Raw genomic sequence first — 24,593 nt, forward strand, 5'->3', positions numbered from 1 at the left:
TTTAAAGTAACAGTGCTTTGCTACACCTGATTTGAATCATCTGTGGAGCTTCAAAAAAAACCCTAATTAATCCTAAGACCAGTTATGTCAGGTGGGGTCCAGGCACTGTTATTTTTTTTAAAGCTCCCCAGGTGATTCCAGTGTAGGTCCAGGATTGAGAAGCAGTTCTTGAAGATGCTGGTGTACCCTGACCTGCCTCCAGCCTTCTTTGCAGGAGATGGATGGGGGTTGGTTGTAGTTGCTCTGTCATAGAACACTGCAATTCTAAGGATGCCTAATGTTATGAATGTAGGTAAATTGTTTGCAAAATGTTCTGTGTTTCAGGAATACTGCAATCATTTGATTTAAGTGTCACCATATGTGTGTGTGTATACAGTCATGGGTCACTTAATGATGGGGACATGTTTTAAGAAATGCATCATTAGGCAATTTCATTCTTGTGTGAACATCATAGGGTGTATTTCAACAAACCTAGATGGGATATATATTTTCATTTATATATTTTATTATGGAAAATCAAATGTCCCAGCACTGTTACTAAATATCAGTCATTTCCCCTACTTGATCTGCCATGCCAACATTAAGTGCCATATATTAGATCTCTATATATGCTCCACTATAATCTTACAGGATCACTGTTGCACATGTGTTTCCTCATTGACTGAAATGTTATTCAGTGCATGACTGTACATATATTAAAAATGTTATGCACCATATTTTAACATACTGATATTACTAATGAGTTGTCCTCATGGTGACTTTAAATGTCATAATTAATGCCATCAACCAGAATATATCAAATAAATTCAGATACCACTTGTTCTGTTTATTTCCTTCCCCTGCCAATTTTTTATTTTTCCTGGTTCTGCTGAAGCCAAGATGGGGTGCTGTGTAAGATTTTGTTTGTGAGGAAAGGTTCTGCATGAATTAAAGTTTTGCAAGCCATGGGCATTTCATTGTATGGGCCGTTTTGAGGTCTGTCATCTTGCAGATTAGATTAGCTTACACTGAGGCACAGTCACCTGCTGGGCTGGGCAGAGAGCTGCACTCCACTAGTATTTGAGCTGTCCCGGCTGTTCACCAGCTGGATCCACTTCGGATAGGCATAGCCAGGGCAGCCGCCATTCCCATTTGTGGGGGAAAAGGGAAGCTATCACAAGAATGGGCTGCAGCTGTGGGATGAGGTGGGCAGCCCAGTGATGGTGTCATTGTCAAGGGGCCGTTGAAATGTCCTTAAGCAGTCATTGGCCAAATCCTGTCCTCTATGGATCCAGAGCCACAGAATGTTCCAGCAGAAATATGTCTTAGCCAGCAGCTCTTTATTGAGGACTGATTGTGGGCTAGGCTCTGTGCTAGGGTCTTTACAGATGTTACTAAATCTTCTCAATAACCCTATGAGACAGGCATTATTATCCCCATCTTACCGATGAGAAAACTGAGGCTTAGAGAGGTTAAGCAGCTTATCCAAGATCACAGTTAATAAGTGACAAAGCCAGCATCGGAACCCATGCTAGTGCTCTCTAAAACGTTCTTAGAAATCATGTGATAGATGAGAAGATCAAGGTCTGGAGAAGAAAAGCAAGTTGTCTGAGATGACACAACCAGCTCTAATTGGTGGCAAAGCTGCGCCTATAACTCACCTGCGCTTTTCACAACCTGCAGTACGTGACCACTGCCGAAATGAAGAGGCAGGGGTGTGCCCCCTCCCACCTTCTGAGTGGCTCAGGCACAATCAATGTTGAGTTGGCACGAAATGAGAAATTAAACTCACCATGCCACTTTAAGAAGAACATGGAGAAGGCAGGCAGAAGTGACCGTGGAGAACAGTATCTGAGCCAGAAGGCAGGAGGTCAGCGGGGGAGTCTTGAGTGGGAAACTCAAGGGTAGCCTGACTGTCCTTGTCACAGGTTTAGCTGGGCACTGTTAGTTCCCCCCTTTGTCAGTTTGTGGGAATCTGGGCATCAGGGATCTGTTTCAGCCCTTCACATTTGTATTTGGGTGTGCTCAGCTTAAAACGATAGCAGCCTGCAGGAGCTCAGCCCTGCCTCCATTTATGGAGGGAAGAGAAACTAAGGAATGCTCCTTGGGGTGGTGTTGGGGAGCAGCTACATGGGAAAATGAAGGGTGCAGCACCAGTAAAAAGGTGCTCCCAGGACTCCCTCCCACCAGCACTCGGACCAAGGAAGAAGCATTTAATTTCAGCCAGATTCCTAGATGGTTGCTTTTATTTGTTTTCATCTGAATTTGTGCCAAGGATTCAACTTTTCCTGCTTATTTTATTAAAAACTTTATACACAGCATTAATAAATAGATATAAAACTGCCGTATACATGACAAACAGAGGGTCTAAATGAAATTCCCAAGGGTCAGCTGTTGAATAAGTAACAAAAGCACATCTTGGCATGATCAAATTCCCATATATATGCAAATTAGGGACAGTGCTTTACCACAGAGTGTTTTAATTAATATTTATAAATCACAGAGTGCCTTTGAAAGGGCCAGTAAGCTGTTTATATTATTATCATGTCACACAAATAACAAACCCTTTGGAGATTGCTGCCTACTTTGCATTTTGGTCTGAGAAGTAAGTGAGCATGTTGCATGTGTTTCTCTTCCTCGTAGGTGTGGTGTCAGCACAGCGGCAGGTCACCGTTCAGGAAGGACCCTTGTACCGCACAGAGGGCTCCCACATCACTATCTGGTGCAATGTGAGTGGCTACCAGGGACCTTCTGAACAGAATTTCCAGTGGTCCATTTACCTGCCTTCGTCGCCAGAGCGAGAGGTGCAGATCGTCAGCACCATGGACTCTTCCTTCCCCTATGCCATCTACACCCAGCGCGTCCGCGGAGGGAAGATCTTCATAGAAAGAGTCCAGGGGAACCCAACCCTATTGCACATCACAGATCTTCAGGCCCGGGATGCCGGGGAATATGAATGCCACACACCCAGCACCGAGAAGCAATACTTTGGGAGTTAACAGTGCAAAGATGAACCTAGTGGGTAAGGAGAAGCTGTCTTCACGTTGCCAGCGTCTGGCCTGACTCAGTTCTTTAGTAGTGTAATTTTGCTTTATGCCATGCATTTGACTTTAAAAAAAATCCCAAAACTCCCAGCATATTTTAGGGGTCAACAGATAGCACAAGGAAACTAAATTTCTGTGTTCACTTCTAAATAATAGGTGGTTGAGGGTGAAACTTTAAAAAGATCTAATGCAGATGTTAAGAATTTCGTAAGTTAACTAACCCTGTAACTGGTGAAAAGGGATATGAAAATATAAGGCAAGGACGTTTGTGGTTGATGATCTGAATGACAAGGAAGATGAGACGTATGACATCAGTTGGGAGAGAGGAGAAACCTCTCGGAAGGATAGGCCTTTGGGTAGCTCTGAGACCCACGGGGCACTGCTGAAGCAGGAAGCACATGTGGCTGCGGGTCCTTGCTCAGACCTTGTACATTGAAGGTCCTTTGGCTCCATGCGTAAGGAACTATGAACTGGCTGTCTCCCTTGTTGCTCCTTAATGCTGAAGGAAACATGAGGAAGAGGGATGCAGGAGCTTCCAGTGTGGGCAGCACTGGTCACAGTGTTTGCCAGTGTCAAAGGGTTAACCATATCAAGGCTGTTCTGTTTTTCTGCCTATATTAATGTCCAGTTTTTATTATCACAACTAAGCAGTGGGTGTTGCTAGTTCTTTTATTAATATACATACTATCATTTGTTTATTTTTCCTTTCTCTAACTAGTCTGTGTCCCAGCAGGAGACCTTTTTTTTCTTTTGTGTGTGTGTGTGTGTGTGTGTGACGGAGTTTCACTCTTGTGGCCCAGGCTGGAGTGCAGTGGTGCAATCTTGCCTCACTGCAACCTCCACCTCCCGGGTTCAAGCAATTCTCCTGCCTCAGCTCCTGAGTAGCTGGGATTACAGGCACCTGCCACCATGCCTGGCTAATTTTTTGTATTTTTAGTGGAGATGGGGGTTTCACCATGTTGGCCAGACTGGTCTCGAACTCTTCACCTCAGGTGATCCACCTGCCTCTGCCTTCCAAAGTGCTGGGATTATAGGCGTGAGCCACTGCACCCGGCCATGTGATGGGAATGTTCTGTGTCCATAATAGATGCTGCATATTGCTGGCCCAGCTCCTGAGGCTCTTTGGACCTCCAGGAATCGGTGTCTCTATCAGGAACCCTTAACCCTGACCCAGACTCCCAGCTGGGACCCAGGGTGTTGGAGTGGCAAGAGCGCTGTCAGGCCTGGTGAAGGGTGTGAGCTGTCCAACGGGGCAGGGAGGAGGCAGGGCCTGTTCTGCAGTTGGACAGACAGAGCCCTCTAGCTGCTTTCTGGAAGACTGAAGGGCAGGTGATGTTGGAGGGAGGGAGTGCAGGCAGGGGCTGTGAGGGAGTTCAGGTCAGAAACAGGTGGCACCAGGATTCAGGCTGTGGTGGTCACGGTGGGGATGAGGGGCTGCTTTGGATTATGCTGAGGATGTGGGGTGGTGCGCTGCTGCATGACTACTGCCAGGTCTCTCTGCTCTTGGTGTCTGCATCCAGGGCTGGGAGGGGGTCAAATGTATCACACTATCGGCCCCAGGCCCACCAAGCCTGGGGAGGTGGCCACCCTTCCATGATGGCATTTGGATGTTCCCTGTGTGTGGGGAGGGCACGGGGACTCCATTCATAGACCACCTCTGGGACAGTGTGTCTGCCTCTGAGGTCAGACGCTCTGCACTGGGACAGCGTGGAGTGGAGGGAAACCAAGCTTGGGGCTCATTGGAGGGGCTTGCTGGCAGACACCGCCCTTTGTGGGAAACTGACTGTGGGAGAGGGGAACCCCAACCTCTGTCACCACATCCCTCTTCCCTGTTGTCACACCTGTCACCTGCTGCCGTAGCCATGAGACTTCCCAAGGGTCACTGCTGCCACTCACTGCACAGCCTGGAAGGGAGTCCACAGGGGACATACAGTGAGCAAGAGACCTGTGCCACTCAGGCCTCCTGGGGGTGTCCCCAGTGCAGCCATGATGATAATCACAGCTACCATTCACCAAGCCCTGCCCACAGTCTAACCTACTCTATTCACAACACTCCCAGCAGCAAGGCAAGTGAGGTGCTGCCGTCATCCAGGCTGGACAGTTCAGTGATTTGCCTGAGGCCCCACAGCAGGTGAGTGGCAAGTCCAGCGTCAGAGCAGGGCAGGCTGGCGGTGCCCCCTGAGCCCCCTTTGCCATGCTTACCGCATGCACATCCTGGGCTTGTGCAGGAATGCCCTGTCCCCTACCTGCCCTGCTCCGTGCAAAACCCTGTGCCTGGGAGACATGCTGAGAGAATTCATGGAAACAAATGTGTTACTGACAGCCTCTTTGCCTCCAGAGTTCAACTGGAGACAGAAAAACCAGCTAGAGGCAGAGGGAGGTAACACGGAGTCCCCCAGAAAGGTCTGAGCTGTGCGTGCTTCAGGTAACCTCCCTTGACCTTCAGGAGAACGAGAAGGCTGCCTGATCAGAGAGTCTCTGAAGAAGATTCTGTGGCTACAGGCTTCAGCAGAGTGTGAGGGAGACCCCGGTTATTTCCTCAGCTGTTTCCACCAAATCCTCCTGTCTTTCGTGGCCAACACCCCAGGCAAGGCTTGGGGCCCCCGTCTGCTGCTGGACGGTAAGTCCTGGCCCCGTGGCAGTGAATCTGTGGGGCGCTCTGATTGTGGGCACTATGGAAGCTAAACCCCATGCTCCAGGTGGGGTGGAGGGTCTTCAGAGGACTCCTGGACAGTGCCAGGCTCTAGGCTGGGGTGGGGGACACAGGAGAAACCAGGCCAGGCCCATCCCTGCTGGAGCTTCTCCCTAAGCAGTGGAGGCTCAGCCACTGTGAGGAGGTAGGCCAGGCCCTGCAGAAAGAGGGGTGTGGAAATCTGGGGGCTCCCAGGAAGGGCCGCTGCTGGAGATGGGGTTCTTACCAGGATGGGCTCTGAAGATAAGCAGGGAGGATTTGGGAGGGCAGAGATGAGGCCCAGAGCTTCTGGCAGAGGGCATGGCCTGCGCAAAGGTCTGGGGGCCGGACAGCCTGCACGTATTCTGGGAAGCGGGAAGGAGACACAGGCCTTGTGTTTCTGAGGCCTGACTTTAGACTGTGCCCTGTTGGGGAGGGGCCAGGGCATGTCTGAGGCTGGGCCTGACCCTGCTCCTTACCCCGTGGGTGCAGCAGAGCCATGAAGAAGAAGTTAGTGGTGCTGGGCCTGCTGGCCGTGGTCCTGGTGCTGGTCATTGTCAGCCTCTGTCTCTGGCTGCCCTCGGCCTCCAAGGAACCTGACAACCATGTGTACACCAGGGCTGCCGTGGCCGCGGATGCCAAGCAGTGCTTGGAGATTGGGAGGTGAGCGGGGCAGGGCATGGGACATGGGCCCTGAAAACTGGGCAAGTGGACCTGAGCAATACCTTCACCCCTCTGAGACTCAGTTTCCCCACATGTAAGCTTCGCTTGGACTCTCTCAGTAGCCTTTGGGAAGGGGACGGTGACTCCGAGAGCAGGGTGTGGGTCTCTAGAGCCAAACAGGGCCCCTTTTCTCAGTTCTAAGAGTCTCTGTTTCTTTGGATAAACTCCACTGTTTTGTTGTTTGGTTGTTATTTTTACTTATTTCTTCCTATCTATCTATCTATCTATCTATCTATCTATCTATCTATCATCTATCTATCTATCTATCTATCTATCTATCTATCTATCTATCTATATCTATTTAGAGATGGAGTTTTGCTCTGTTGCCAGGCTGGAGTGCAGTGGTGCAATTTCAGTTAACTGCAACCTCCGCCTCCCAAGTTCAAGCGATTCTCATGCCTAAGCCTCCCAAGTAGCTGGGATTATAGGAGTGCGCCACCACGCCCAACAAATTTGTGTGTGTGTATATGTGTGTGTGTGTGTGTGTGTGTGTGTGTGTGTGTTTTCTGAGACAGAGTATCGCTCTGTTACCCAGGCTGGAGGGCAGTGGTGCAATCTTGGCTTACTGCAGCCTCCACCTCCCAGGTTCAAGTGATTCTCCTGCCTCAGCCTCCACAGTAGCTGAGACTACAGGCATGTGCCACCATGCCCAGCTAATTTTTGTATTTTTAGTAGAGACAGGGTTTTGCTATGTTGGCCAGGCTGGTCTTGAACTCCTGACCTTGTGATCCTCCCACCTCTGCCTCTCAAAGTGCTGGGATTACAGGTGTGAGCCACTGCGCCTGGCCTAATTATGGTGTTTTTAGTAGAGATGGGGTTTCACCATGTTGGTCAGGCTGGTCTCGAACTCCTGACCTCAGGTAATCCACCCACCTGGGCCTCCCAAAGTGTTGGGATTACAGGTATGAGCCACCACGCCTGGCTTATTCTTTTCTTTTCTTTTCTTTTTTTTTTTTTTTTTTTTTTTGGTTAGGAGACAATTTCTTTCTTTCTTTTTTTTATTTTATTTTATTATTATACTTTAAGTTTTAGGGTACATGTGCACAATGTGCAGGTTTGTTACATATGTACACATGTGCCATGTTGGTGTGCTGCACCCACCAACTCGTCATTTAGCATTAGGTATATCTCCCAATGCCATCCCTCCCCCCTCCCCCCTCCCCCCAAGGAACGCTGTTGCCCAAACAGGGACATGAAGGGCTTATTCTTTTTTTAAGGTGGAGTCTTACTCTGTCACCCAGGCTGGAGTATAGGGGAGCGATCATAGCCCACTGCAGCCTCAAACTCTTGGGTTTAAGTGATCCTCCCGCCTCAGCTTCCTAAAGTGCTGGGATTACAGGTGTGAGCCATGGTGCCTGGCTTCTACTGTGTTATTCTATTTTAGACTCTTATCTCATGTTATATATAAAGATAAGTTCCCTCCTAAAGACTTAAACAGAAAAAATATTATGTTTTTCATATTTTGAGACAGGGTCTTGTTCTGTCACCCAGGCTGGAGTGCAGTGGCATGATCCTAGCTCACTGCAGCCTTGAACTCTTGGGCTTAAGCGATCCTCTCACCTCAGCCCCCTGAGTAGCTAGGACTACAGGCGTGCATCATACCTGACTAATTAAAAAAGACTGTTTTGTAGAGATGGTCTCACTCTATTGCCCAGGCTGGTCTTGAACTCCTGGCCTCAAGTGATCCTCCACCTTGGCCTCCCAAAGTGCTGAGATTACAGGTGTAAGCCACCATCTCTAGCAGGGAAAAAAAAAATGTTATTAATAAAGTATAGCAATTTCCCTTTTTGTCCCAATTATAAAAGTCATGTACATTTGTTTGCTTAATAAAGAGGAAACTGTCTGGGCAAGGTGGTCCACACCTGTAATCCCAGCACTTTGGGGGGTTGAGGCGGGCAGACCACTGAGGTCAGGAGTTCGAGACCAGCCTGGCCAACATGGTGCACTCTGTCCCTACTAAAAATATAAAAAGTTAGCCGGGCATGGTGGTGTGCGCCTGTAATCCCAGCTACTCAGGAGGCTGAGGCAGGAGAATCGCTTGAACCCAGGAGGCAGAGGTTGCAGTGAGCTAAGATCATGCCACTGCACTCCAGCCTGGGCAACTGAGTGAAACTCTGTCTCAGAAAAAAAAAAAAAGAAAAAAGAAAAGAAAAAGAAGAAACTGTAATCCCAGCACTTTGGGAGGTTGAGGCGATAGGATTGCTTTAGACCATGAGTTTGAGACCAGCCTGGGCAACATAGAAAGACCCTATCTCTACAAAAAAGACAAAAAATTGCCCGGTGTGGTGGTTCTTACCTGTAGTCCCAGCTACTCAGGAGACTGAAGTGGGAGGATTGCTTGAGCCCAGGAGGTCAAAGCTGCATTGAGCCAAGACTGTGCCACTGCACTTCATCCTGGGTGACAAAGTGAGACCCTGTCTCATAAAACAAAGGCTGGGCACAGTGGCTCATGCCTGTAATACCAGCACTTTGGGAGGCCAAGGTGGGTGGATTACTTGAGCACAGGAGTTCTTGACCAGCCTGGGCAACATGATGAAACCCCATCTCTACAAAATACACAAACAAACAAAATTGGCTGGGCATGGTGGCATGTGCCCATAGTCCCAGCTACTTGGGAGGCTGAGATGGGAGGGTCAATTGAGCCCAGGAGACTGAGGCTGCAGTGATCCAAGATCACACCACTGCACTCCAGCCTGAGCAACAAAGAGAGACTTTGTCTCCAAAAAAAAAAAAAAAAAAAAAAAGAGGCCAAGGCAGGTGGATCATGAAGTCAAGAGATAGAGACCATCCTGGCCAACATGGTGAAACCCCGTCTCTACTAAAAATACAAAAATTAGCTGGGCGTGGTGGCATGCACCTGTAGTCCCAGCTACTCAGGAGGCTGAGGCAGGAGAATGGCTTGAACCCGGGAGGCAGAGGTTGCAGTGAGCTGAGATCGTGCCACTGCACTCCAGCCTGGCAATAGAGCAAGACTCCATCTCAAAAAAAAGAGAAAGAAACTAAAAACAAAAACCCCAAAACTCGAATGGACTTCTCTTCCATCCTCCTTTGGGCAGGTGGGCAGCAGGGTGTGTATGCGGGGCCAGGGTGGAAGCCTGCAGGTTCTCATGCCTTTATGTGCCACATGGCAGGGACACACTGCGGGACGGTGGCTCTGCAGTGGATGCAGCCATTGCAGCCCTGTTGTGTGTGGGGCTCATGAATGCCCACAGCATGGGCATCGGGGTTGGCCTCTTCCTCACCATCTACAACAGCACCACTCATGAGTGCCTCGGAAGAGGAGAGGGAGAGGGGCAGGGGGTGTGGGTTGGGCCGAGGCACAGCTGGGTGGCCCCCAGGCTCACGTGGCATAAAGGGTTTTGGTGGGTGGGCCTGCCTACCTGCTTCTTCTAGGAAAAGCTGAGGTCATCAATGCCCGCGAGGTGGCCCCCAGGCTGGCCTTTGCCAGCATGTTCAACAGCTCGGAGCAGTCCCAGAAGGGTAAGCCATGCTGCAGACTTGGGGCATGGGTGCAGAGCTGGCTGAGCCACCGGGAAGGGGCCTTGCCCACAGAAGCCTGCTCCCGTCAGGGTTCAGGGGCAGTTCTGTCACCCCCCATCCCTTCCTGGCCCCATAGCACCCTCCCACAATGAGTGGTCAGGACCATCATCACCACGGTAAAGGGCCGGGAGCTTCTGTTATTTCTGCTAAGGCCTCCGGGGCCACCCTGTGCAGCACGTGGAGAGAATAATTATTATGCTAGCAGACCTCATGGATCAGGGCTCACTGGGGCCCATGCTCTGCTCTGTGCTTTTCACCCACGAGCCTCTCACAACCCTCCCTGCTCCTTTGGGCAAGGGGATGCTGTGTGGATTCCCATTTTACAGGGTGGGGATGCTGAGGCTCAGACAGGTCATGCAAATCAGCTGAGGTCACACAGCTGGGAGGTGGTGAAGCTAAAATTGAACCCAGGCTGTCTATATCCTGCCTTTTCAACAGGCATCCCATTCACTCATTTGTTCATTTGTGGGGATGGCGCTCTAGAATGTGAGGTGGAGTCTCTCTTTTCTAATCTGGTCTTAAGTGGGGAGGAGGCCCCCAAATTCCCCAGGTACCTGAGGGGAAGCCACTGTCCATCCAGGAAGCCACTGTCTGTCCCCAAAGGAGGCACAATAGATTGTGAGATAAAAGTTGGAGGATGGGAGGGTCTCAACAACTCACACCTCTAATCCTAGCACTTTAGGAGGCCAAGTCAGGAGGAGCGCATGAGCCCAGGAGACCTGCCTGGACAACATAGCAAGACTCCATCTCTACAAAAAATGGAAAAAAAAATTAGCTAGGTATGGCGGTGTGTGCTTATGGTCCCAGTTACTCGGGAGGCTAAGGTGGGAGGATCACTTGAGCCCAGGAGGTTGAGGCTGCAGTCAGCCATGATTATACCACTACACTCTAGCTTGGGCAACAAAGTGAGACCCTGTCAAAAAAAAAAAAAAAAAAAGGCTGGGCCTTTTTTTCACAGGCTCACGCCTGTAATCCCAGCACTTTGGGAGGCTGAGGCAGATGGATCACCTAGGTCAGGAGTCCAAGACCAGCCTGGCCAACATAGTGAAACCCTTTCTCTACTAAAAGTACAATAATTAGTCGGGCGTGGTGGCACAGGCCTGTAATATCCCAGCTACTCAGGAGGCTAAGGCAGGAGAATCGCTTGAACCCACGAGGTAGAGATTGCAGTGAGCCGAGATCATGCCACTGCACTCCAGCCTGGGCAACAAGAACGAAGCTCCGTCTCAAAAAAAAAAAAAAAAAAAAAAAAGTTGGAGGATGGAGGGGCAGGACACACTCACCATAGCAGGTCTTAGACTTCAGGTGGGGGTCCTGGGTGGTGCCCTTTGGAGTCTTCTGCAACATACTCAATCTTTGATTTTTTTTTTCTTTTTTTTTTTTGAGACGGAGTCTCACTCTGTCGCCCAGGTTGGAGTGCAGTGGTGCGATCTCGGCTCACTGCAAGTTCCGCCTCCTGAGTTCACGCCATTCTCCTGCCTCAGCCTCCCGAGTAGCTGGGACTACAGGCGCCCGCCTCCACACCCAGCTAATTTTTTGTATTTTTTAGTAGAGACGGGTTTTCACTGTGTTGCCCAGGCTGGTCCCTCGATCTCCTGACCTCGTGATCCCCCTGCCTCAGCCTCCCAAAGTGCTGGAATTACAGGCGTGAGCCACTGTGCCCGACCAATCTTTCATTTGTTTTTAATACTCACTGAGAAACTCAGCATCTGTAGACATGAAGTTGCTGAGGGTAAGAGAATGCGGGAATCATAGGCTTGGCACCTTGTGGACGCTTAAAACCATTTATTTGACTAGAATGTATTGAGCATTGTCTTAAAGAATCAGCTGTTGTTCCTGAAGCTGGGGTGAAAAACAAAGACGGCAGATGAAATCTGTGACACTCCAGGTGGGAGGAGAAACTAGGCAAGTGCGGGTGTGTTACGGGCTGTAGAAAAACAGACCTGGAGGGCCTCAAAATCTGGGACTCTATGGAGGGTGACCTAGTCAGGGAAGGGGACATCTGAGCAAAGACCCAGAGGCAGAGATGGGGTCAGGGGAGTTATCTCCTGGTCTGCTATCCAGGTGTGATGGCAGGGACAGAGCCCTGTGGGGAGCTGGGGAGGCTGCAGCAAGTGATCCAAGGGGAATGGCCCAGGTTGTGCGGGATCTCTTAGGTTATGGTGAAGCCTCTGCTTCCTGTCTGAGGGAAGTGGGGGCTCGTGGAGTGTGTGACTGGAAGGGGATGGATCTGGTCTATGGACCCCTTGGATTGCTGTGTAAGGGGCAGGGAGCATGTGGGGACCTGTCCGGAGGTCACTGCAGTAATTCGTGGAGAGGGTGCTGGGAAGTGGCTGACGCTGCACAGACACACTTGGAAGTGGAGCCTGTGGATTTGAGGATGGGTTGGGTGTGACGCTTGTGTAGGGAGTCCCCGGGGACCCCTGATCTTTTGTCTGTACCTGGAAGGATGGGGTGACCCTAATGGAGACAGGCAGGGTTCTCAGGAAGCAGGTTGAGCAGACACTCAGGAGCTCGGTTTTGGGCACGTTGAAGTTTGAGATGCTTTCTTCAAGCAGGCAGGTAGATCCTCAGGTCTGGTGATCGGAGGAGCAGTCCAGGCCAGCAGGTCAATTTGAGAGTTGTCAGTGCATAAATGGAGGCTGAAGCTCAGATGTCAAGCAGACCACCAGGAGAGAGAGCAAAGACAGAGGGGAGAGTAGGAGCTAGGATGGCAGGCGGGGGAGACTCGGGTGGAGCCAGGTGCTGGGATGCAGGGGCGGCTCTCAGGGAGAGTGATGAGCCCAGTAAAGCTGAGAGGGGGCACTGGGTCTGGCAGTGTGGGGGTCACCAGAGAACTTGGCAAGTGTGGTGGCATGAGAGCCTGATTGGGCTGAGGTCAGGAGGAGATTTTTTTCTGATATTGATACATGATATTTTCTATATTTATGGGTACATGTGAGTGCTTGTTCCATGCATAGAGTGTATAATGATCAAGGCAGGGTATTTGGAGTCTCCGTCACCTTGAATATTTTTCATTTCTGGGTGTTAGCACCATAGTCCTCTCTTCGTTACTTTGAAATATACAAAATACTGTTGCTAAGCATCGTCACCCTGGTCTGCTATCAAAGATTAGAACTTCTCCTGTCTTGGCTGGGCACGGTGGCTCACGCCTGTCATCCCAGCACCTTGGAAGGCTGAGGTGGGTGGATGACCTGAGGTCAGGAGTTTGAAAACAGCCTGGCCAACATGGCAAAACCCCATCTGTAGTAAAAATACAAAAATTAGCCTGGCGTGCTGGCCTGTGCCTGTAATCCCAGCTACTCGGGAGGCTGAGGCAGGAGAATCGCTTGAACCTGGGAGGCGGAGGTTATAGTGAGCTGAGATCATGCCACTGCACTGCAGTCTGGGAGACAGAGCAAGACTCCATCTCAAAAACAAACAAAGAAAAAAAAAAACAAAACAAAAAAGAACTTCTGTCTAACTACAAGGTGGAAGGAATCATATGCTGGGTGTCAGACCTTCCGGGATATATGTGCAGCTTCTAGGAATTGAAACCACCAGCTCTTGGAAACTTGTGCCAGGCTTCAGGGTGGGAGAGGCAGTTCTAGAGCCACAGCCGCCAAGCCAAGGCAAATGGCCCCATCATCTCTCGCAAGAGCAGGAGAGTCCCTGGGGGCAGAGGCCATAGTTGTACCTTTCTGGGCAAAGGGTCAGTGTCTGTAGTGTCCATATGGGCAGTGGGGCTCAGGGGGGAAGCAGGCCCAGGGGTCTGTTTCCAATGACCTCCCCAAAAGTCAGAACTGGAAGGCAAAACCCCTTATAGGCTGAGTGCACCTGTAATCCCAGCATGTTGGGAGGCTGAGGTGGGAGGATTGCTTGAGGCCAGAGTTTGAGACCAGTCTTGGCAACGTAGCAAGACCCCTGTCTCTACAAAAAATAAAAATAAAAAATTAGGCTGGGAGTGGTGGCTCACGCCTGTAATCCCAGAACTCTGAGAGGCTGAGGAGGATGGATCACCTGATGTTAGGAGTTCAAGACCAGCCTGACCAACCTAGTGAAACCCCGTCTCTACTAAAAATACAAAAATTAGCAAGGCGTGGTGGTACATGCCTGTAATCCCAGCTACTTGGGAGGCTGAGGCAGGAGAATTACTTGAACTTGGGAGGCGGAGGTTGGAGTGAGCCAAGGTTGTGCCATTGCACTCCAGCCTGGGCAACAAGAGTGAAACTCCATCTCAAAAAAAAAAAAAAAAAAGCCACGTGTAGTGGGGTATGTCTGTAGTCTTAGGTACTTCAGAGGCTGAGGTGGGAGGATCGCTTGAGCCTGGGAAGCCAAGGCTGCAGTGAGCCATGATTGCACCACTGCACTCCAGCTGGGACAACAGAGTGAGACCCTGTCTCAAAACAGACAAACAAACAAAAACCCTTATAGTTGGATGGAGAAACTGAGGCTGGGAGAGGGGACAGGATGGAGGTTAAGGCTCAGTCTTGCCTCTCTGGGGCAGTAGAAAAGGGGAAGGGAGCCCTTTCTTGGGGCTGGCTGTGTCTTGAAGGTGGCCTGTGCTTGACCTGGGTCAGGGTAGGATCTGCTCTTGTTTTGGCACATTCTGGTGGAGCCCATGAGTCTTACAGGACAAGGCCTTGTGGTCAGCGAGATGGGAGGGGGTCTGGCCTGGCACAGGATTTTAGACATGCTGGCACCTGCAGAGACAGACACCTCATCCTGGGACAGCAAAACCCAGCCGCATGCTACTGCTTCCCCTCCTGTACCCTCCTCAGACATCCCTGGTCCATGTACACTCCTAGCTGCTGAGCCCCTCTTAAAAAAAAAAAATTAAACATCCCCTCCTAAAAAAAAAACAATTAAAATTAAAAAATAAATTTAAAAGTTAAAAATCCCCTTCTGCTAGGTGTGCTGTTCACGCCTGTAATCTCAGCGACTCAGGAGGCTGAGGTGGGAGGATTGCTTGAATCCAGGAGTTCGAGATCGGGCTGGGCAAGATGGCAAGACCCCAACTCAAAAAAGAAAAAAAAAAAAAATCTTTCCTCCTAAGCCTCATTGCCCCATCTGTAAAGCGAGTCAGGGACTGTGCCTGGGATGCTGCCTGCGAGAGATCCCGATGTCCCCCACTCAGGGTCACTAACTGTGGCTCTCTCTCCCCAGGAGGGCTGTCGGTGGCGGTGCCTGGGGAGATCCGAGGCTATGAGCTGGCACACCAGCGGCATGGGCGGCTGCCCTGGGCTCGCCTCTTCCAGCCCAGCATCCAGCTGGCCCGCCAGGGCTTCCCCGTGGGCAAGGGCTTGGCGGCAGTCCTGGAAAACAAGCGGACCGTCATCGAGCAGCAGCCTGTCTTGTGGTATGTCTGTGGGTGCGGCCCCCTGACACAGGCAGGGCAGGCACAGCCCAAGGACCTTGCAGGCCGTAGCAGCAGTGGAGCGGCCCTCTGCCTTCAGGACCCTGTGCTGATAATGGGATGAGGAGATACAGACCCTTCCCACCACGTGTGGGGACACATTCTGAGCGTGGGGTCCCAGTGGCCACTGTGGCTGGCCATGTGTCCTGAGTGGCAAGGGACACTAGGAGGCTCCCGGAAGGGACACTAGGAGGACAAGCACTGAGTGACAGGGCCACCCACCTGTGACAGGCGCTGCCCCTGCTTTGTGCTGGTCTCCTGTGTGGGCAGGTGTGAGGGGTGGTCTAGCTGAGTCCACCCCACCTGCTGCCTCACATGAGCCCCCTCTGCCCCAGTGAGGTGTTCTGCCGGGATAGAAAGGTGCTTTGGGAGGGGGAGAGACTGACCCTGCCGCGGCTGGCTGACACCTACGAGATGCTGGCCATCGAGGGTGCCCAGGCCTTCTACAACGGCAGCCTCATGGCCCAGATTGTGAAGGACATCCAGGCGGCTGGTGAGTGGGTAACCTCAAGGACCTGGGTGAGGAACTCTGCAGTGGAAACCCTGAGCTGTAGCCCAGAGCCATGGGGTCCTCCTGTCTTGCCTGAGCCTGCAGGAAGTTCCTGGTGGAGGAGGGTCAGTGACTGGCCATGTGGGTCCACAGCTCCTGCTTATATCAAAACCAAGAGAGGCCACACAGTCCAGGAGAGCAAGCCCCTGTTGGGGTAAATGCAGGTGAAGGCAAGAGCCAGGGCTAGGGAAGCACTAGAATACAGCCTGAAGATCCAGGAGGACTTCTTGGAGGAGGTGGCGGCTGGGCTGCAGATAACTTCGTTAGGCAGAGAGAGGAAGGGATTCCTAGCAGAGGAACAGCTGGGCTAAGGCCCAGTAGAGGGCGCTTTGATTCACCAAGAGGGTTACAAGGGATGAGGGTCGCCTTGAGAGAGGCATGGGGAAGGGGATTTGTGGGGCAGGGGCCTGGAGCTTGGCTGTGGCTTTCTTCAGGTAATTTTTGTCACTGTTTCATGGAGGAGGGTGATTAGCGTGTCGACCTTTACCACTGAGGCTGGAAATTGGCATGCCAATACCCTGTCTGGAGCTGACTCCAGGAGAATTAAGAGCCTCCCTCCCTCCCTCTATCCATTCATCGTGAGGAGAAGAGGCCAAGCAGCAGGGACACCGGCAGGAATTCTCCAGTTAGAAAAGGCCCTCTGAGCCAGGTGCGGTGGCTCACGTCTGTAATCCCAGCACTTTGGGAGGCCGAGGCGTGTGGATCACGGGGTCAGGAGATCGAGACCATCCTGGCTAACACAGTGAAACCTGTCTCTACTAAAAATACAGAAAAATTAGCCACGTGTGGTGGCGGGTGCCTGCAGTCCCAGCTACTTGGGAGGCTGAGGCAGGAGAATGGCGTGAACCTGGGAGGCGGAGCTTGCAGTGAGCCGATATCGCGCCACTGCACTCCAGCCTGGGCGATAGAGCGAGACTCCGTCTCACAAAAAAAAAAAAAAAGAAAGAAAGAAATATAGCAAAACACAACAAAAAAATTAAAATTTGCTGGGTGTAGTTGTGCCTTTAGTCTCAGCTACTGGGGAGGGTCTGCTGGAGGATCACTTGAGCCCAGGGGTTCAAGGCTGTGATTAAGCCACTGCACTCCAGCCTGGGTAACAGAGCAAGATCGTATCTCTAAAAAAAAAAAGAAAAAAGAAAACACTCTCTGGCCACAGATGAGAGAAGGCAGACAGGAAGCCAGTAAGCCAAGCAGGCAGAGGGCAGGTGGCCCCAGCCCAGCTGTCGGGTGGTGAGCAGTGTCAGGGAGACAGGAGTGCCGGAGCTGGTGAGGTTCCCAAGGAGGTGAGGTTGCCTGTGGCCCCCTCCCAGGGCACAGTCCCACCCCTCCAGTAGTGCACTCTGTCCTCCCTGGTAGGTACAGGCTTTTCCCCACCACCATGGTGCAGCCATGCCTGCCCCCAACACCACTGGTGCAGCTCCATCCTCCACGCAGTGGTGCAGCCCCATCCCAGCGCCCATTCGAGCTGCTGTCCCATTGCAGGGGGCATTGTGACAGCTGAGGACCTGAACAACTACTGTGCTGAGCTGATCGAGCACCCGCTGAACATCAGCCTGGGAGACGCGGTGCTGTACATGCCCAGTGCGCGGCTCAGCGGGCCCGTGCTGGCCCTCATCCTCAACATCCTCAAAGGTGAGTGGTCGCACCACAGCTGTGTGGTAGGACCCATGACACTGCCTCTCTCTCCCCACGCCCCACCCCTCCTGCATCTCTGCTCGCCCCCCATGCCACGTCTTTCCATCACTGAGCTCCTGAGGTGTGTCCCTGCGTCACAGCTCACCATGTCCTGAAGGAGGCAGTGCAGAGCAACAGGGCTGAAGCGGGCAATGCTCAAGGGTTGGAGGAGGAACAGGAGTCATCAGGAGGGAGAGAGGTGCAGGAGCTCAGGGCTGCAGGGCCGGTCCAGAGGGTACCCCGGTCCAGTGGGTGACCCTGCCACTTGGTCATTGAATGGCCAGAGCTGATGCGTGACGTGAGGTCCAGGCTCGGGAGCCCTCACCTTACTTCACTCTCACCACAGCCTTCTGAAGCAGCTGCTGCTATTGGTTATTAAACGCTCCTTGAGGTGGGCAAAGTGGCTCAGGCAGGTGTTAACCCTCTGAGCCCCTCAGAGCCTCTGGGGCTCAGCAACATGCACCTGGCTCTGATCAACCAGGGTACAACTTCTCCCGGGAGAGCGTGGAGACCCCCGAGCAGAAGGGCCTGACGTACTACCGCATCGTAGAGGCTTTCCGGTTTGCCTACGCCAAGAGGACCCTGCTTGGGGACCCCAAGTTTGTGGATGTGACTGAGGTAAGGGGCAGGGGCTGGCCCACTGTGGGTGTGGGGCCTGCCGTAGAGGCATCAGGTGGGCTCCCCAGGGTGGCTACAACCTCACATATGCTTTATGAATCCATTCCTGCCACAGAATTCGATTGCGGGCCTACTGTGTGCTCGGATGGACTCGTGGGTGACCCCCAGTCTTGGCTTCTGCCCCACAGAACTGACAGTGTGGGGAATTAGTGGCCACCCTCCTACCTCAGGTCCTTTGCACATGCTGTGGTTCTTGAGTGCTCAGTGCTGAGATGAGGAATGCATGGGGGCATTGCAGCCCTCAGGCATGGTGAGATGGATGGGTGAAAGGGAGAGGGCCAGGTGAACAGAGACCTCGGCCACCCACTCCCTGTCACTCCAAACTAACGCTTCCCAGATGCCACCCTCAGCCCTGCACCACCTGACCCACTCACCCAGTAGTTGCCCCAGCTCCATGCTGGGTCCCTATAAGACCCTGTCATATCCCTTCCCGCTGAGGATCCTCACATCCCTCCTTACCTACTTGGGTCCTTGGCATTCCTGGGCGGATCTGCAGACCCCCCCACACTGACCAGTGACCTCCCAGGAGGGGCGTCAGCTGCCCGGGTGGTGTCTTCTCTTTCCCTGTGAGCATTCTGCACCTCTGACTCCCGCTGCAGCCAGTGACCTGGTGTCTTGTCTCTCTGAGGGGACAGAGCCACTGCAGCGTGTCCCTCTGCCCTCCTTTTTGGCTAAGGCCAGCTCCTTCATCTACTCGCTGGCTCGGGGTGCTGTTCCTACAATGCTCCTGTCTGCCTCTGATGATTTATTTCTTTATCACGGATTATTCCCAAAAAAAAGGCAGCTGTTGTTGCTCTAGAAACTTCTATCTGCTGCCTCCTTCTGTCCTTTGCTCCTCTTAGAGCAAACATGGCTGGGCTATGTCCTCTCTCCCTTCAGGGTATCCCCTCCCCTGCTCTATCCCCATGCCACCAGATCGCCATGTCCAGCCTCAGTTTCCCCATCAGGCCCCACTCAGCAGCATCTCACACAGCTCACCACACTCTCCTCGAGTTTTCATTTTGCAAATTTTCGCACCTGCAAAAATGTAAAAAAAACCCAAAACTGCCCAAGCATCAATGTTCCCTTTTCCTGGATTCTGCAGTGTGGACATTTCTGCCGGATTTCCTAACTCTCTCCGTCTCCACCCACATCTATTGGGATTCGTGTTTTTCTGAGGGATTCCACAGTAGGTTACTGATGTCGCACCTCAGGATGTGTCTCAAAAGTGAGACTTGAACATAGCACAGCAGGATGTCGGGGTGACACAACCTGCTGTCCCTTCTCTTTACCTACAGTAGGCTCCCTTGGCTGTTTTGTTTTTGTTGTGTTTTTGTTTGTACACAGAGTCTCTGTCATCCAGGTTGGAGTACAGTGGTGTGATCTTGGCTCACTGCAGCCTCAACCTCCAGGGCTCAAGCAATCCTCCCACTTCAGCCCCCTGAGCAGCTGGGACCAGAGGCACGTGCCACCAAACCTGGATAATTTTTGTATTTTTTTTAGAGACAGGGTCTTGCCCAGACTGGTCTCAAACTCCTGGGATCAAACTGTCTTCCCACCTCAGCCTCCCAAAGCGCTGGGATTACAGGTGTGTTTTTTCTTTGAGACGGAGTCTCGCTCTGTTGCCCAGGCTGGAGTGCAGTGGCGCTATCTCGGCTCACTGCAAGCTCCGCCTCCTGGGTTCACGCCATTCTCCTGCCTCAGCCTCCCGAGTAGCTGGGACTACAGGCGCCCGACACTGCGCCCAGCTAATTTTTTGTATTTTTAGTAGAGACGGGGTTTCACCGTGATCGCGATCTCCTGACCTCGTGATCCGCCTGCCTCGGCCTCCCAAAGTGCTGGGATTACAGGCATGAGCCACCGTGCCTGGCCTGTTTTGTTGATTTTTAAAGCCCAGGGCAGTAGTCTTGGAAAATGTCCCACATCGTGGATTTGCCTTTCTGTTTCCTTGAGGGCAGATTCAGACAGAACACCTTTCCCTGGGATTGGTCAACTAATCCGTGGGGTGTTGCTGAAACTTTATTTTATTTTATTTTATTTTTGAGACGGAGTCTCGCTCTGTCCCCCAGGCTGTCCCCCAGGCTGGAGTGCAGTGGCGGGATCTCGGCTCACTGCAAGCTCCGCCTCCCAGGTTCACGCCATTCTCCTGCCTCAGCCCCCCAAGTAGCTGGGACTACAGGTGCCCACCACCGCGCCCAGCTAATTTTTTGTATTTTTAGTAGAGACGGGGTTTCACTGTGTTAGCCAGGATGGTCTCGATCTCCTGACGTCATGATCCGCCCTCCCAAAGTGCTGGGATTACAGGCCTCGGCCTCCCAAAGTGCTGGGATTACAGGCGTGAGCCACCGCGCCCGGTGTTGAAACTCTCTTGAGGCATTTTCTTCGGCCTTCGGGTCCATCCTCTCTGTCTCCTCTTTGACCTCCTCATCTCCTCCTCGCCACTGCCTTGGGGACCTTGGCCAGGCTCATGGCATCCAGCAGCCACTCAATGTCAATACCTCCATGTTCATCTCTCAGCCCGCCCTTGCCCGTGAACCCATGCTTATTTATTTATTTTTTTTATACGTGCACCCATGCTCTTTGGGTCTGATGAAGTATCCAAAATCAAGCTCCTGACCATCCCCAAACCGGCCCCTTCTGCCGGCCTCGCTAGTCGGCACCATGCTTGATTCTTCTCTTTCTCCCACCCAGGCCATCATCTCTTGCCTGGTTGATACCCACAGCCTCCCCTTTGGGCTTTATCCTTATCCCCGTCATAGCTGCCAGAGGGACCCTGTGAAAACACTCCCCAGCCTCCTCATTCCTCTGCCCTAAGCCTGCATGGCACAGAGCAAAAGCCAGTTGTTATGGGACCTAGGAGGTCCTGTGGGATGGGCCCCAGCCTGCATCTTCATCCTCTTCTCCCCACCCTACTCCATTCACTCTCTGCCTATCGCTCACCAGCCTATGCCACCTGCCTCAGGGCCTTTGCACTGACCATTTAGGCCACATTCCAGGCTCTTTTCACACGTTGCCTCCTCTGAGAAGCCCTCCCTGACCACTCTGCCCATACCTCATGCCTCTTGATTCCCCTTACCTGGCCTGTGGTTTCAGCACTTTCCCTGTGTGTGTTTGTTTTTCTTGGCATGAGGGCAGGACCTAAGTGTCTGTTCCCTGTTGATTCCCCAGTGCCAGGCATGCAGTGCAAATTCTAGAAATATTTTTTGCATGAAAGAATGAGTGATTGAATGCGGCAAGGGTCTGGAGGCTGAGGACCAGGCAGACAGACATTCAGAGTTGCTGGAACGCGACAGAGACAGGGAGTCAGACTGGTCATGCAAGGTCTTGGGCCTGCCCTTGGGTCCTGGGGAGCCACGGAAGGTTGTGGGTGCCAGAGGGTTGCGGTCAGAGTCACAGTCAAGGGCCTTCTGAGACCTGTGCCCCCTCCCCACCTCCTCAGGCCAGCTCTGGGGTCTCAGCAGGTGGTCCGCAACATGACCTCTGAGTTCTTCACTGCCCAGCTCCGGTCCCAGATCTCTGACCACACCACTCACCCGATCTCCTACTACAAGCCCGAGTTCTACACGCCGGATGACGGGGGCACTGCTCACCTGTCTGTCGTCGCAGAGGACGGCAGTGCTGTGTCCGCCACCAGCACCATCAACCTCTAGTAGGGGCTGCTGGGCCGCCTGGGTGGGAAAGGGCCAGGGGCGGGTGGCCCAGGGACTGCCCACTTATCCAGTAAGGTGGCTCCATCACCTCTTTTCCTGGTGGGAAACTGAGGCCCAACCTTGGTAGCTTATCCTGGGCCTCTCAGTGAGTATGTTTGAGCCTCAGTGGGTGGATAGGGACCAGGCTGGGCCAGGCAAGGTCGGGTGCTGTCTGACCTGGCTGGGCGGTAGCTTTGGCTCCAAGGTCTGCTCCCCGGTCAGTGGGATCCTGTTCAATAATGAATGGACGACTTCAGCTCTCCCAGCATTCACCAATGAGTTTGGGGCACCCCCCTCACCTGCCAATTTCATCCAGCCAGGTATGGGGTGGAGGTCCGGGGGGTGGGGGACTGGGGTGGAGAGGGGCGGGTGTCCTGGGCAGGCAGCTGACGGGCATCCCTGTCTTCTCCCATCGGCCGCAGGGAAGCAGCCGCTCTTGTCCATGTGCCCGACGATCATGGTGGGCCAGGACGGCCAGGTCCGGATGGTGGTGGGAGCTGCTGGGGGCACGCAGATCACCACAGACACTGCACTGGTATGTGTCACCCCTTTTCTCCCTGGCCCTGCCCACTCTGCACAGCCCCCAAGCCACGCTGATCACACTCCCATGCCCCAGGCCATCATCTACAACCTCTGGTTCGGCTATGACGTGAAGAGGGCCGTGGAGGAGCCCCGGCTGCACAACAAGCTTCTGCCCAACGTCACGACAGTGGAGAGAAACATTGACCAGGTGGGCCAGGGGTTGGAGAAACTGAGTCACGGTGTGGGGTCCCAGGGCATCCTGGGCTGGAGGCCTGGATCATCACAGAGTGGACAATGGTTGGTGTCCTCTCTCTAGTGCCTGGGCCATCTGGAGCCCCTGTGACATGAGAGCCAAGCCCCCTGCTCCAGTGAGACCCAGCAGGCCCCAACCTGCTCTTCCTGATGACCTGGCCTGAAATGGCACCACCTGGGCTGAGGCCTGTGACCACACAGGTGTGGTTCAGGTGGCATCTGGAGCCCTGCTCAGGCTTCCCCTCTCCTCCCACCCCCAGGCAGTGACTGCAGCCCTGGAGACCCGGCACCATCACACCCAGATCGCGTCCACCTTCATCGCTGTGGTGCAAGCCATCGTCCGCACGGCTGGTGGCTGGGCAGCTGCCTCGGACTCCAGGAAAGGCGGGGAACCTGCTGGCTACTGAGTGCTCCAGGCAGACAAGGCTGACAAGCAATCCAGGGACAAGATACTCACCAGGATGAGGAAGAGGACTTTGGGGGACGGGCTTCCCCTGTGAGCAGCAGAGCAGCATAATAAATGAGGCCACTGTGCCAGGCTCCAGGTGGCCTCCCTGGCCTGTCTCCCCACTCTCTGGGCCTCAGTGTATTGTGTGTGAAATGGAGCCATCTGGCTGGGGAGGAACAGAGAGGTGGGATTCGGAGATCTTCACAATGCGGACACTGGAACTAGCCTCAGCATCTTCAGCATGGGGAGAGCAAGGCACATGGCTGGGGGCCAGGGGAAGGTTCACACCAAACCCTGCCCCTTCCCACCCTGATCCCTCAGACTTTGGGGCCAGGCCCTCCCTTACTGGGGCTGGGCAGTGACACTACCTAGGATCAGCCACCAGGGGGTGTCACGACCCTGGCGCTTTCTTAGGCAGAGGGTGGCCAGCCGATGCTGGGAACCCGGGCGCCTTCTCAGACCCGTAGGCGTCCAGCTCACCCTGCCGATGACACTGGAGGTGAAGCTGAGGGTCCGAGGAATGGGGACTGGGCAACAGGCTGGAGGAAAACATCTCGGTCAGAGCCATGCCCCTGGGGGGTTCCCAAGAGCAAGCCCAGAGTGAAACCCAAGCTTGTGATCCTCTCCAGAGGGAGGCCTGGTTCTCAGGGAACAGCAAACGGGAAGATGTCCCCAGATCCCAGGGATCAGGGCTTGGACCAGCCGGGGACGCAGCCCAGAGGGAGTGGGTCCGGAAGGAAACAGCTCGACACAGCAGCCTTCACCATTGGCAGCCCCTCCAGGCCTCCCTCGGGGCCTGCTCCCTCCTCTGTGCACAGTTCCAACACCTGGAGCAGGGTTCTGGGAAGGGCTGGTGGAGGTGGGCTGGTGGGAGGCGGTGATCACAGCCCAGCACCTGGATATCACCAGGGGCACTGGGGCCAGGGGCCAGGTGAGGCCAGGTCGGGGCTATCCTTCAGGAGCCCCGAAAACCTGGTGATTCCAAAGGGCCCATAGACAAACAGGGTTTTATGCCTGTGGAGTCAAGTCCCACTGGGTCTGAGCTCTGGAGGGCTGTGTCTCTGGGGCTCTGCAAGGGTGAGATGGAGGTGGGCTCAACTGGTGTACAAGTCACTCTTCAATCCTTATTTTATTTATTTAATTTTTTTAAAAAAATTTAAACCAATAGAGATGGGGTCTCACTATGTTGACCAGGCTGGTCTTAACTCCTGACTTCAAGCAGTCCCCCCATCTCAGTCTCCCAAAGTGCTAGGATTACAGGGGTAGCCACTGCACCCGGCCTCAATCCTTATATTGGCCTGAGAGGAAAGGCCGTGGCCCCATTTGCAGGGGAGAAGACTGAAGCTGGAGGGGCAGGCCTTGCTCTGGGTTGCACAGCAGGAAGAGAAGTGGGAGCTGGCCACGAGGCTTCCTGGACCCGACACGCTGGTGGGGTACACCCTGGTTCTC

At 53.1% G+C, this 24,593-nt stretch overlaps 1 protein-coding gene across 14 annotated transcripts; it reads left to right on the plus strand.

The window, feature by feature from the left end:
- Positions 1-1,609: 1,609 nt before the first annotated feature.
- On the plus strand, positions 1,610-23,266 carry LOC102724197 (inactive glutathione hydrolase 2). Of its 14 annotated transcripts, none has more exons than XM_017030140.3 (15): positions 1,610-1,849; positions 2,623-3,001; positions 5,083-5,154; positions 5,362-5,448; positions 5,567-5,643; positions 6,187-6,357; positions 9,811-9,897; positions 15,103-15,295; positions 15,688-15,845; positions 17,385-17,534; positions 18,058-18,194; positions 21,695-21,882; positions 22,115-22,242; positions 22,345-22,652; positions 22,957-23,266. In XM_017030140.3, exons 6-15 carry the CDS (start codon positions 6,300-6,302, stop codon positions 23,101-23,103), a joined length of 1,554 nt encoding a protein of 517 aa, XP_016885629.1. In that variant the 5' UTR covers positions 1,610-1,849; positions 2,623-3,001; positions 5,083-5,154; positions 5,362-5,448; positions 5,567-5,643; positions 6,187-6,299; the 3' UTR covers positions 23,104-23,266. The 14 variants fall into 14 exon arrangements, with proteins under 14 accessions (XP_016885629.1, XP_016885630.1, XP_016885625.1 ...); XM_017030141.3 differs by having other exon boundaries at positions 5,086-5,154; XM_017030136.3 differs by lacking the exon at positions 5,362-5,448 and having other exon boundaries at positions 5,470-5,643.
- Positions 23,267-24,593: the final 1,327 nt, after the last annotated feature.

Source organism: Homo sapiens (genome assembly GCF_000001405.40).
Source record: "Homo sapiens chromosome 22 unlocalized genomic scaffold, GRCh38.p14 Primary Assembly HSCHR22_UNLOCALIZED_CTG1".
Taxonomy (NCBI): Eukaryota; Metazoa; Chordata; class Mammalia; order Primates; family Hominidae; genus Homo; species Homo sapiens.